Source organism: Homo sapiens, chromosome 10 (genome assembly GCF_000001405.40).
Source record: "Homo sapiens chromosome 10, GRCh38.p14 Primary Assembly".
NCBI classification, from domain to species: Eukaryota; Metazoa; Chordata; class Mammalia; order Primates; family Hominidae; genus Homo; species Homo sapiens.
This window is the reverse complement of record NC_000010.11, coordinates 11,852,539-11,866,294: the sequence shown is the minus strand read 5'-3', so window position 1 is coordinate 11,866,294 and position 13,756 is coordinate 11,852,539. Positions and strand designations below refer to the sequence as shown.

At 47.0% G+C, this 13,756-nt stretch overlaps 1 protein-coding gene and 1 long non-coding RNA gene across 5 annotated transcripts in view; one reads left to right on the top strand and one right to left on the bottom strand.

Moving 5' to 3' along the window:
• Positions 1–13,756, bottom strand: part of PROSER2 (proline and serine rich 2) — a 48,922-nt gene that overhangs the window by 5,983 nt on the left and 29,183 nt on the right. The window contains exons 1-2 of one of the 4 annotated variants that reach the window (XM_047424964.1): positions 4,888–5,246; positions 3,253–3,383 (exon numbers count right to left, since the gene is read on the bottom strand). The exons of 2 other annotated variants lie outside the window; for them this stretch is intronic. The gene's annotated coding sequence lies outside the window, so the exon portion shown is untranslated. Of the gene's footprint in view, positions 1–3,252; positions 3,384–4,887; positions 5,247–13,756 lie in introns of those variants that run through there. One more of the 4 variants, XM_047424963.1, reaches the window with a different exon arrangement.
• Positions 1–13,756, top strand: part of PROSER2-AS1 (PROSER2 antisense RNA 1) — a 45,103-nt gene that overhangs the window by 28,416 nt on the left and 2,931 nt on the right. The window contains exons 4-5 of the long non-coding RNA NR_038222.1: positions 3,365–3,478; positions 8,910–9,030. This is a non-coding gene — a long non-coding RNA (PROSER2 antisense RNA 1). The remainder of the gene's footprint in view (positions 1–3,364; positions 3,479–8,909; positions 9,031–13,756) is intronic.

Sequence of the window (13,756 nt, the reverse complement as noted above, 5' to 3'; positions counted from 1 at the left end):
CTTGGGGTTCCTAGCAAGTCAATGACAAAAAGCACCCTCTCGGGAGCACACTGGAGAGCTGCAGTCAGCCTACGGCTATCCAACACACTTGTTTTTCCATAATCACGGGAAACCTCTGCTTAAAGATGGTGGATTGAACTCACATATTTATCTCCTTTCTCACCAGAAACCGTACTAAAACGAAGGGATTTTTTTTTTAAGGCACAAATCACAATGACAAAATAACAGGAAGAGAGATGGTGGAGCACGCATCATCTTTGGGGAACCTGAAGAATCCAACAGCCAAAAGCAGGGCAGCCGGAGAGCAGGACAGGTGGAAACTGACTGAGAAGGCCCAGGAAAGCCAGTGACCCACCTGCTGCATCCCGAAGAACTGCCCAGAAGCTCAGGCCCTGGAGGTGCTGAGCGGCTCTGGAAGTGTGGGCAAGGTGACGGTGAAGAGAGCTGAACTGTTTGAAAGTCTCTTTCAGAAGCAATGAGCTCATCCCGGCACAAAACTCGCCAGTTACTCTCGAAAAAGGTGACAGAGGAACCCTGAAGTGGGGCCACGGAGCAAAGCTGACGGTGGAGTGCCGTGTTAACAGTGTGGGCTGTCAGTGCAGCCAAGTGACCGCCCTCCAGATGGAGGACTGTGCATGTCATCTCTGGGGAACCCGAGGAATCCAAGAGCCAAAAAAGGCTGATCCCAAGGGTTCCCCAGCAAGATCAATCCACAGGTAAAGATTACAGTCAACGAATCCCAGTGTAGAACTGCGCAGCAGTTTCTTACTGTCCTACTCTGGAGTATGCGCAGATATCTAATAACCACCGAGCATCTGAGGAAAACTGTTAATGTGAAACAGCTATCAAAATCAAAGGATAGAAAAGCAACTTACAGGAAATGAACTATGTGGAGTGATGGAAAACTTCAAAAAGGCTATCATCAGTTGTCAGATAAGAGGGGATACTGAATCCATAAACAGCATGATTTTTTTTCTTTACAGGACAAAAGAAGACTTAGAAATAAATAAAAAATACTAACAGCACAAAAAAATGAAAAACTAAATAAAAGCCTAAAAGATAAAGTTGTAAAATCAGAAAACTATGAAAAAAAAGGATAAGAAAATCAAAGGATGGATCTGGGAGGGCCACTATGTGAATAATGAGAGTTCCAGAGAGAGAAATCAGAGAAAATGAGAGGAAGAAATTATAAAATAAAATAATTCAGGGAAATGCCCCTAAACAGGAACAGGTGAGTTTCCAAACTGAAAGGGGTCCTTAGTGTACAACCTAATGAATAAAAATCAAACAGACCCATGCCAAGGTATGCATCATTGTGACATTTCAGAATACTGAAAGCCAAGAAAAGATCTGGAAAGCTTCCCAGAGTGAAAAAGCAGGTCACATACAAAAGATCAGAAATCAGAAGCCAGGTGCGGTGGCTCACGCCTGTAATCCCAGTACTGTGGGAGGCCGAGGTGGGTGGATCACTCGAGCTCCAGAGTTCGAGCCCAGGCTGGCCAACATGGTAAAATCCTGTCTCTACTAAAGATACAAAAATTAGCCGGGCATGGTGGTGTGCACCTGTAATCCCTGCTACTTAGGAGGCCGAGGCAGGAGAATCACTTGAACCTGGGAGGCAGAGGTTGCAGTGAGCCAAGACTGCACCACTGCACTCCAGCCTGGGTGACAGAGCAAGACTCTGTCTCAAAAAAAAAAAAAAGAAAAAAAAAATTCAGAAATCAGAATTTGATAACTGCCTAAGTTACGTAAGAGAATAGTATCCTTGTTTTTAAAATGTACTTCAGTATTGAGGGGAGCATTATGTAGCAACTACATTCAAATGGTTCAGAAAAAATAAAGTGTGCGTGTGTTGTGTATATAGAGAGAGCGCATGTTAAAATGTGGAAAAAATTTAAAAATTGGTGAATCTAATTAAAGCGTAGGTGGGAGTTCTCTGTACTATTCTTATAACTTCATTAAGTTTGAAATAACTTCCAAACAATTTAAACAAACAAAAGATCAGGAATCAGAAAACAGCAACAGACTTCTCAGCAGCAACACCAGAAGCCGGGAGACAATGGGGGCTCAAAACCCGGATAAATTGTGAACTAGGATCCTATACATAATCCGATTATTAATTAGAACTACGGAAGAATAAAGGTGTTTTTAAGTCATGCAAGGTCTTCAATCTGATCTCCCATGTCAGCCTGTCTGAGGAAGCCTCTGCAGGGTAGTCAGGAAGGGCAGCTGTTCCTCTAAACACGGAGTAAACCCAGACAGAAGACACGGAGCCAGGTAACAGAAGCGTCCACATGAGAAAGCTGCAGGGAATCCCAGAATAACGAGGGCTCCCCAGGAAGCCACCTGTGCGCTCAGCAAGTAGTCTAGTTCACAACAAGCCCAAGGGTGGCAAAGGAAACCATGCAAGCAAAACCGAAACCATGAGCAACCACAGAAAAACTAATGTGAGAGAAAGCATTTATCTATCATCTGTGCACAGCAACATACACACCGACACCATAACAGAGTTGTCTCAGATTGAAATTGTGCATACTTAATACAGACACATGAAAAAAACAAAGGATATATAGCAATATGTCAATAGTGGAGGTAAATAACAAATAGGTAGAGTTAAGAGCTGTTGCCTCCCATTGAGTAGGAAATGGAGGTGGTACATGCGGACTGATGCTTTTATAAACCTTATAGACTATTTGACTCTATAATGCTATGAGTGTGGACTCTGCTTCTGCTGTACTTTTTTTTTTTTTTGTGGGGGGGATGGTTTCACTCCCGTTGCCAGGCTGTTGAGTGCAGTGGCGCGATCCTGACTCGCTGTAACCTCTGCCCCCAGGGCTCAAGTGGTTCTCCTGCCTCAGCCTCCAGAGATGCTGGGACTACAGGTGCACGTCTGTGCCCTGCTAATGTATTTTTTTTGTCTTATCAGAAGTGATTGAGAGCTGATCCATGTGGTGTAGTCTGATGCTTTCCACACTGTGATCTGAGAGGTATTCAAATGCCCACCTACCCAAAGCATCTAACTCCCAGGCCCATACAGAGCCTGTGGTCTACACAATTTCAGAGACTATAGTTGAAAGCATAGTACACTGTTGTTTTGGGGATGAAAACACAAGAACACATGCAAATTTCTCAAGCTAGCCTGGTCTTATTAGCTTAATCCTGAAAGAAGGATGTCTCAGGAAAAGGAGAGATACCTAGGCACGGGTTAGGTAGGCAGGCAGAACATTGCTAGGGAAGATAAGCAATGCGTACCTGTTGGATATAAACCTATGCACAATCGCCGGGTCTGAAGATGTGTGTCTGCTTGGGTGGGTGGACACAGCTTTCCGAAGTGGTTGTACTGACTGACACTTGCTTTCGGCAGGGCTGGTTGCTCTAGCGCCCTGAAGGAGAGGAATGCAGTCATATTTCACTGTGATTTTCAGTGTCATTTCCACGAAGACTAATGATGTTGAGCTTTTTTTTCTCCATAATACAGGTGAGTACTCCTCATCGGAAATGTTTGGGATAAGAAGTGTTCTGGATTTTTTCACATTTTGAAATATTTGCATATACATAATGAAATATTGATGTTTTGTATATGCCTTTTGTTGATTTTTTGGAGACCGTGTCTCACTCTGTTGCCCAGTCTACAGTGCAGTGGTACAATCACAGCTCATTGCAGCCTAGGTCTCCCCAGCTCAAGTGATCCTCCCACCTCAGCCTCCCCAGTGGCTGGAACTACAGGCAAACACTACCATACCCAGCTAATTTTTATATATTTTTTGTAGAGACAAAGTCTTGCTACATGGCCCAGGCTGATCTTGAACTCCTGGGCTCAGGCAGTCCTCTGGCCTCAGCTTCCCAAAGTGGTGTTATTGTAGGCATGAGCCACTGTGCCCATTCTATAGTAAGTCTTGATATCTGGCAGAGTCCTCCAGTTTTGTTGGAGTTCTTAAAGTCTTCCTTAAGTCTGTTTAGCTTTCTTAGTCCTTTTTTATTTCCACATAAATTTTAGTATCAGTTTGTCAATTTGCATATTCACATAAACACACGCATGCCCCTGTGGTGACTTTAAGCGGGATTTGCATGAAAGTTTCTCAAATTGCAGAGAACTGATGTCTCTGCGATCTTTTCTTGACCCATGAATATGGCTCATGGCTTCATTTATTTAGATGTGTGGTTCTCAAAGTGTGGTGTCTGGACCAGAAGCAGCATCTGTGAACTTGTCAGAAACATTCCTGGGTCCGATCCCAGACCTGCCGCATTAGAAACTCTCAGGCGCTGGGCCTGTCAGTCTGTGTTGGACGCAGCCTCCAGGGAGTCTGATGCGCTGACAGTTTAGATGCACAGATCTGGCTCTTTAATTTCTCTCAATGTTTCTCATAGTTTCCAGTGTAGACATCTTGCACGTTTTCTGCCCTATGTCTTCCTAGGTATTTGCTATGGCTCCGCCTACCCTTCACAGTTAACTTTCCACCATTCTCTCCTTTATATTCCTCGGGAGGCATGGCCAACTCTTTGGTAAAGGGCCAGGTAGTGAATATTCTGGGCTGTGCAGGCTTTAGGGTAGCAGCTTCTCAACTCTACCAAGGTAAGGAATGAGCCTCACTTTTGTTACACTGAACTGTATTTACAAAAGCACGGAGTGGGGGCAGCTACGGGCCACAGGCTATGGTTTGTCGCTTCTTGCTCCCTGCTCAAGTCCATCACTGGCTCTTCCTATGTCGGCTTCTAAGGCAGCGACGCCCATCCGTGCACGGCTGCATCTCACCTACTTTCACGGCCGGATTTCAAACCTCAGCCCACCCCCACAGCATCCCCTGAATCACAGCCACACACACGCACCTGCTAAGCACACAATCCAGTACCACAGTATAAATCATGCTCCTGCTGTCTAGAGCTTACCACCCAATGAGGGCTTCAGATAAGATCAGCAACTGCCCTAGAGTGTGGAACTCCTATGACAAGGTGAGCCTGGGGTGTGATGGAAACACGGCGTGCATGGTTACCAAGCCACGCTTCCAGGGAAAGGGGTCTGTGCAGGAAAAACTTCAGAGAGGAAATGACATGTCAGTCAATAACCTGAAAGAACTGGATGAGAGTTAAGCAACAAGGAACAAGGCACAGTCATCCACACAGCATTTTGGAAAGATCATGTTGGTTATAGTGCAGAAAATACTGAATATGGGAAACAATTTGTTATTATTTTTTAGGAGTCTTGCTCTGTCGCCCAGGCTGGAGTGCAGTGGCACGATCTCAGCTCACTGCAGCCACCACCTCCCAGGTTCAAGCAATTCTCCTGCCTCAGCCTCCAGGGTAGCTGGGACTACAGGTGCACGCCACCACGCCCGGTTAATTTTTGTATTTTTAGTAGAGATGGGGTTTCGCCATGTTGGCCAGCCTGGTCTCGAATTCCTGACCTCAAGTGATTCACCCACCTTGGCCTCCCAAAGTGCTGGGATTACAAGCATGAGCCGCCATGCCTGGCCTTGACCCAGCTGCATACTTGCTTTTGGTTTTGTTCTGTTGTTTCCCATCACACACTAACAAGCATCAACCGACCCTTGCTCGGATCCCCACGCAGGCCTCATACATTTCATCCCAGAGTTCCTCGGCTCACGGTCTCACCTCAGGGTTCTTTCTTCCTCTTCTTATTATTTGTATAAAATGAGACAAAAATCCATTTTCTTTTTTTTTTGAGATGGAGTCTCGCTCTGTCACCCAGGCTGGAGTGCAGTGGCACGATCTTGGCTCACTGCAATCTCCGCCTCCTGGGTTCAAGCAATTTTCTGCCTCAGGATCCGGAGTAGCTGGGATTACAGGCACCCGCCACCACGCCTGGCTAATTTTTGTATTTTTAGCAGAGACGGGGGTTTCACCATGCTGGCCAGCCTGGTCTCGAACTCCTGACCTCGTGATCCACCCACCTTGGCCTCCCAAAGTGCTGGGATTACAGGTGTGAGCTACCGCGCCCAGCCCAAAAATCCATTTTCACCGAGCCAGTTGGTGAGCAGCTTCCCAGGTCCTGGAAGCCTGAGATTCTCACATCCTCAACCTACCCGAGCCCCTCTAGGGTGTGGGGCTGGAGTGAGTGCTGGGCACCTGGTGTGTATCCCAAGCACCTTCTCTGTAGTCAGTCTGGCCTTGTGCCCTGAGTCCCAAGGCAGGGCCAGCCATGCTGTGGGCTGTCCGCTGCCTAATCCTGGGGGACGAAGCCACCTTCCACAGTGAACCCGGATCTGCCTTCCCTGGGAGGGGAGGAGAGGAGAGCAGAAGCAGAGAGTGCCGGTGGGGAAGGGATCAGGGCCTCAGGGTCAGAAAAGAGGCTTGTGGCCCTCGGCAGGGAGAATCTGTCTACCCCTCCCTCGGGAGATGCCCAAAAGAAAGAGATGGCCTGGGGGAGCAGGTCATGGCGATGAGGGCAGGGGCAGGGATGGGCAGTGACTGCAAATGGGCCATGATTTCTTTTCAGGAGAGGAAAACATTCTAAAATGGACTGTGGGGATGTAAATACACTAAATGCCATTGAATGTATACTTTACATGGGTGAACTGTATGCTATGTGACTTGTATCCCGATAAAGCTGTTATAGTAAAAAAATCCAAAAGCACAAGGCATCGCCTGGTGGTCCTTGGAGGCGGGAGAGAGCTGGAGCCCGCAGTGGAGGCTCCTGCAGGGCTGGGTGCTGTTGGAAGAGGCGTTTGCTAATGACTCAGGTCCCTAGGAACTATGTAGATAGGAAATGAGAAGCAAAAATAGCCGCTTTCTTGGGCAAGGGTGAGTTGGAGAAAGCGTTAAGTTTGTCCCTATTAGTTAGAAAGGTAGAAGAAGGCGGACAGCAGAAAAGTAAATTCCCTTCTCACAAATTTTTTTTGTTTGTTTTTTTGAGACAGTCTCTCACTCTGTCTCCCAGCTTGGAGTGCAGTGGTGTGATCTTGGCTCACTGCAACCTCCGCCTCCTGGTTCATGCAATTCCCCCACCTCAGCCTCCAGAATCGCTGAGATTACAGGCTGCACCACCACACTCGGCCTTTTTTGTTTTTTGGTATTTTTAGCAGAGATGGGGTTTCAGCGTTTTGGCCAAGCTGGTCTCAAGCTCCTGACCTCAAATGATCTACCCGCCTCAGCCTCCCAAAGTGCTGGGATTACAGGCATGAGCCACCATGCTTGGCCCAAATGATGTTTTTTAATGTACCAGTTTGGATTGTGGAGTAAATGGCAGTTCTTTAAGGATACACATCTTCAGATGTTAAAAGAACAGGCTAGGAAACCATCTCTCCTTTTTTTTTTTTTTTTTTTTTTTTGAGACAGAGTCTCGCTTTGTTGCCCAGGCTGGAGTGCAGTCATACAATCTCGGCTCACTGCAACCTCCACCTCCTGGGTTCAAGCGATTCTCCTGCCTCAGCTTCCTGAGTAGCTGGGACTATAGGCACCTGCCAACACGCCCAGCTAACTTGTTTATTTTTAGTAGAGATGGGGTTTCACCATATTGGCCAGGCTGGTCTCGAACTCCTGACCTTGTGATCTACCCGCCTCGGCCTCCCAAAGTGCTGGGATTATAGGCGTGAGCTACTGTGCCGGGCCCATCCCTCACATTCTATCCTACCATGCTGACTTCAAGAAATGACAAGTCTCTGAAGGAAATATTGCTTTGCTTCAAGAATGTGAGCAATGTATTTTTACCCTAATATATATATGATATGATTTTGAAGAGAGAATTTCTAGTGCATTCAAACCAGAAAACTCAAAATGCTGAACATACTAAGGTCATTATAATGCACCAGAACAAGCCCCCACGTAGAGAACAAAGTCCCAGTCTAGCTGATCTCTGTTGACTCCTGCATAGAGATGGCAGAAAAAAGGTCTATCCAAGCCCCATTCAAGCTCTGAGGGCAGCAGCCCAATAAAAAGCTAGATGACAACTTTTTAAAAAACAGCAACAGGTCGAGAAGTCCTAGCTATTGCTATACCAGCACAGATTAGAGAAACGGTAGAATCAAATCTTTGGTTGGTTGAACAAAAATGCTGAGAAGGCTTAAAATACGTGTACTGAAGTAACCCCTACCTAAAAAACAGCTGAATTGGCCAGGCGTGGTGGCTCATGCCTGTAATCCTAGCACTCTGAGAGGCCGAATCACTAGAGGCCAGGAGTTTGATACCAGCCTGGCCAACATGGTGAAACCCCGTTTCTACTAAAAATACAAAAAAAAATTAGCCAGGCGTGGTAGCACCCACCTGTAATCCCAGCTACTTGGGAGGCTAAAGCAGGAGAATTGCTGGAACCCAGGAGGCAGAGGTTGCACTGAGCTGAGATTGTGCCATTGCATTCCAGCTCTGGGCAACAGAGCAAGACTCCATCTTGGGGGGGAAAAAAAAAGAAATTTAGTTTAACTGCAGACTAAGACAATTGTGGCAACCCCCTGTGAGGGATTTAAAAAATGTGAAGCAGCAGAACTCATCTCTGCTCCACCTGCACTTAGAGTCTCTCTTCCGAGGTTGCCGAAGTGGGCGCGGCACAGTTTCGGGACAAAGGTTTAATTAGGGTTTCTTTTTTTTTTTTTTTTTTTTTAGATGGGGTCTCCATCTGTTGCCCAGGCTGGAGTGCAGTGGTGCGATCTCGGCTCACTGCAACCTCCGCCACCCGGGTTCAAGTGATTTTCCTGCCTCAGCCTCCGGAGCAGCTGGGATTACAGGCACGCGTCACCACGCCTGGCTAATTTTTGTATTTTTCGTAGAGACGGAGTTTCACCATGTTGGCCAGGCTGGTCTCCAAATCCTGACCTCAGATGATCCACCCACCTGGGCCTCCCAAAGTGCTGGGATGACAGACAGGCGTGAGCCACTGCACCCGGCCAATAATGGTTACTTCTAGCTAGATACTACTGTCATGTTTCAAGATGGCTCACTTAAACCTGTACTTCTGGCAGGAAAGAGACCCAAACCCATGAAGAATGAGATACATGTACAGTTTTGATTATAAAACCAAAGAATAATGGCTTCACAAGATGACGGCTGGGCTCCTGGGCTGCCTTCAGTGTCTTTAAACAGGTAATACAGATCTTGCTTTCTTCTCTCTCTCTCTGAGAGATCTTGACTGAGACAGACACACCCCAAGTGTGCAGCATTTGAGGCGCTCCGAGACCCTCATGAGCTTGGGTCCTCCATGGCTGCCTCGTCACTATATGGTGAGTTCCTAAAAGGGGGCAAACTGAGTCTTATCCCATCACCTCTCAGTTCTTATATGCAGTAGGCATGTATGAAATGTTGAGTGAATTGGCCTTTTAGAAAAGCTACTGAGTTATGTTTTAAAGCAGCTGTTTGACCAGGACCATTTGGATTCCAGCTGGGTGAGAAGGCAGCATGAAAGGGCGGGGTTATGGCTGATGGGGCGGCTCCTCCCTCAAGGCACCTCCGGTTCAGTGTCCCCTCCTGAAGTCACAGAGCAAACAGCACATCAGATTTCTAGCACACTCCTCAGACTTTGCTCCGGCCCGGCCACGTGGGAAGCCCCCCAGTGCTTGCCATGCCTTCTTAGTCCATGAGCCATGTGTGGGGCCAAAGGTGTCAAGTGCTCTGGAGCAACAGGGTGGCTCAGGAGCTGCCGGCTGCCTGGTCACAGACCGCTGTGTGACTTCAGGGCCACAGCACTTGTGGGCGTAGGGAGAGGGGGATTCGAGACAGTTCATCAAATATTAAATCCTAAAAACTCATTCATAAATTTGGATCACTGTTTCTGCCCAAGCCAGAGGTAAAAACAAATAACAGGTAGACTTGGGATGTCCCCAGCCACCCTCACAAAAGCAGCCATGCTGTTCCAGCTCCACTCCTTGAGAACCATGCGAGTGCAGAGCTCTCCGCCCTTTCCGAGCAGCCAAATCCTATTTCTTCTAGAGGAAGCTTCGGGATGTGTGAAGGCAGACCCGACTTCAGGACCTCATTCAGAGTGAGAGCCTGGGAACGCTGGTGTGAGGCAGCACCGTGCCCTCGCCGTGCACCCAGGGGGTTTTGTGAGACGAGGTGAGCCCTGGAGACACAGGCCTTAGAGGGTGACGGTGGTAACCAAACACCCAGAGCCGCCTGCAGCAGCCATGGAGAGGAGAGCTGTCACATATGGACATCTCAAGCCCTTCTCGGGCCTTTTATTTTGTGCCTGCATCACCTCTCGAGGTAGTAAGCTCCACAAGCACACTCCCGACGTTGTCAGGAAGCACCGCCTTGCACACACATCAAAGCTGCCCTCTTATGTTTCAAATGAAAAGACATAATTCAAGGGATGCCTTTGTAGCCACATATTCTAGGATTTGGACAACTCATTCTAGTTCTACCTATACCTTTCATTAAAAAATGTTCACAGGCAGGATTCTTTACCAAAAAAATGCACACACACAACTAGCCTCTTGAGAAATAAAAACTTCATGTTCACTGCCCTCTTAGAACAGCCTCAGTCATAATTGTGGCCATACGGATAGCCTCAACAATCCTATTTAAGTGGCTATTTTAACTTTAAAAACTATTCGAGATCATCTTCTAGAATTTATGTATTTGTTTTGTGTGGAAATAGGGGTCTTGCTATGTTGCCCAGGCTGGCCTTTAACTCCTAGGCTGAAGTGATCCTCCTGCCTCAGGCCTCCCAAGTAGCTCAGACTACAGTTGTGCGTCACCAAACCTGGACGCTTTTTAAATTTTTAACTTGCACTGGCTCAGGAGAAAAGTTTCTAATGAGCAAAGATCTGTTATATACCAGGTGACACTCCAACTAGCACTTAAAACTTTAGGGTACTCTCAATTAAAATCAGGCGTTCATCTTTTATCGTCTTTTTTCTTTTTTTTTTTTTTTTTGAGATGGAGTCTTGCTCTGTCGCCCAGGATGGAGTGCAGTGGCGCGATCTCGGCTCACTGCAAGCTCCGCCTCCCGGGTTCACACCATTCTCCTGGCTCAGCCTCCCCAGTAGCTGGGACTACAGGCGCCCGCCAACACGCCCAGCTAATTTTTTTGTATTTTTAGTAGAGACGGGGTTTCACCGTCTTAGCCAGGATGGTCTCAATCTCCTGACCTCGTGATCCGCCTGCCTTGGCCTCCCAAAGTGCTGGGATTACAGGCGTGAGCCACCGCACCTGGCCTTATCTTCTTTTAAGAATAACGTTTGCTTAAAAAAAAAAAAAAACAAAAAACCTCTATAAATGAGAACGAGGTTTTCTTTCTTAAGAAACCCACAGCCTAACTAGGTTATGTTTTACTTAAAGAGCCTTCTAAGAGGTGCATTTACATATCGTACAACCTAGAGGCCTAAAAACGCTGTTGACTGACTAATCTTTCATGACCTTGGGAATTAAAGGACACTGCTTAATTGAAGAGACTGCTATAGTTGATTTTTGTTTTAAAGAGAAAAGTCACATTAAAAAAAAAAAGACCTGATGAGTTAGAATAAAACTTATAGCTACTCTCAGAATTTACACTTCCAAAAAAGTGGAGTATGACGTTTAGAGACGCTGTATTGCTGTGATAGGGACTGGCTGCTAAGTGCGGCTCTGTGAAAATCAAGTGTCATGTGACTGTTTAAAAAACTTTAGTAGGAAAAATACAAAAATTAGTCGGGGATGGTGACACATGCCTGTAATCCCAGCTACTCGGGAGGGTGAGGCAGGGGAATCGCTTGAAACCAGGAGGCAGAGGTTGCAAAAAAAAAAAAAAACTTTCAGCAGGCTGGGCATGGTGGCTCATGCCTATAATCCCAGCACTTGCGAAGGCTGAGGCAGGAGGATTGCTTGAGGCCAGGAATTCTAAACCAGCCTGTTCAACATAGCAAGACCTCATCTCTACAAAAAAATTTAACAAATTAGCCAGGTGTGGTGCTGCTGCAACCGTTATCCCAGCTACTTGGGAGGTTGACGCAGGAGGCTCACTTGAGCCTAGGAGGTCACGGCTGCAGTAAGCTATGATTGTGCCACTGCCCTCCAGCCTGGGTGACAGAGCAAGACCTTGTCTTAAACAAAAACAACAGAAAACCACTTTAGTTGTCATTTAAAGTTAAATGCCATATTTTCTCATTTTGCTAGTTCTAAAGGAAAGTACACAACTGTGAAATAATAAGATGACAAGTAAACTTAGCTCAATGTCCCTGGAGGAAAATGCCTGAAAACAGTTAACAGGCCTGAGGGGAAGGCAAGGAAACACGACCAGAACATTCCTCCAACATCAGGAGGAGAACAGGTCTAAGGCTGGATATGCAGCAGAATTCTGTGATCCCAAACACACACCATGTAGACGTAACTTAATTATAGGCGTCCTATGAGTGGGCTTTACAATGCTGTTTCCATTATTCTACCCTATGATATACAGGGACAGGCACGGCAGGGAACAGACAGAGAGACATCACATATACCACGGGAGTGCTACTGGATGATTTACCGGATAGGAAAGAACTGGGTAGAACAGGAATCCTTTAATTTAAAATCAAACTCATGCCCATAAAACTGGTAGAATTAAGAAATGTGTGCAGTAGGGAGGAGGAAGGAATGTTCCCTTTTACCACCTCACCTTTAGCGATCAAAGAAAAAATAATTTAAACGTCTACGGAGAAACGAAGGAGATGGAAGGAGGAGCATGGATCCAAACAAGATGGTGGCGGCAGGATGAAGGGGAATGGCGCCCCACCTGGACACTAACAGAACACCAGGGAAGGAGAAGCTGGCACCAGAGCTGCTTGGGTGCTGGGCATTTCTTTTGAGATGGAGTCTCGTTCTGTCGCCCAGCCTGGAGTGCAGTGGCGCGATTTCAGCTCACTACAACCTCTGCCTCCTGGTTCAAGTGATTCTCCTGCCTCAGCCTCCCGAGTAGCTGGGATTACAGGTGCCCACCACCACGCCCGGCTAATTTTTGTATTTTTAGTAGAGACGGGGTTTCACCATGTTGGCCAGGCTGTTCTCAAACTCCTGACCTCAGGTTATCCACCTGCCTTGGCCTCCCAAAGTGCCGGGATTACAGGCGTGAGCCACTGTGCCCGGCCAATCAAATAATATTTATCACATATTACCATAATGGTTTTAAAAAAGAAAATATGCAAGTGGGGGTCTAGAAAATTCTGTCATTACTAATAACTACCCCATACCAAGTATATCTAGCTTCAGCGTAACTGAGGCTAATTTTATGGCTCAGTGTATCTGAGGGAAACTGGCGTTCCCACTGGAAGGAGAGGACCTGAGAGGTGCCCCCAATGGTTCCTAGTGAGGCCCGGGGGACCATTTCTCTCCTGTGCTCCTCCCTCTAGGAGTGAGTGTCATGGTCTCCCCTCTCTTGAAAGATGAATGTCCTCACCGGGGAAGGCACGAGATCCTCTTAACTTCACCAACTCTTTTTGTAAAGTTCCCAAAGCTATGCAAAGGTCTGGATTCTGAGAAGGATACAAAAGCATCTTTACTTGCACAGGAGTGAAACATCAGCTTGAGTGGCCGGGCGCGGTGGCTCACGCCTATAATCCCAGCACTTTGGGAGGCCTGGCGCGGTGGCTCACGCCTATAATCCCAGCACTTTGGGAAGCTGAGGTGGGCGGAGTTCGAGATCAGCCTGGCCAACATGGTGAAACCCTGTCTCTACTAAAAATACCAAAAAAAAAAAAAAAAAAAAAAAATAGCCGGGTGTGGTGGCACGAGCCTGTAATCCCAGTACTTGGGAGGCTGAGGCAGGAGAACTGCTTGAAGTTGGGAGGCGGAGGTTGCAGTGAGCCAAGATCGCGCCACTGGAGGACAGAGTGAGACTCTGTCTCAAAAAAAAGAG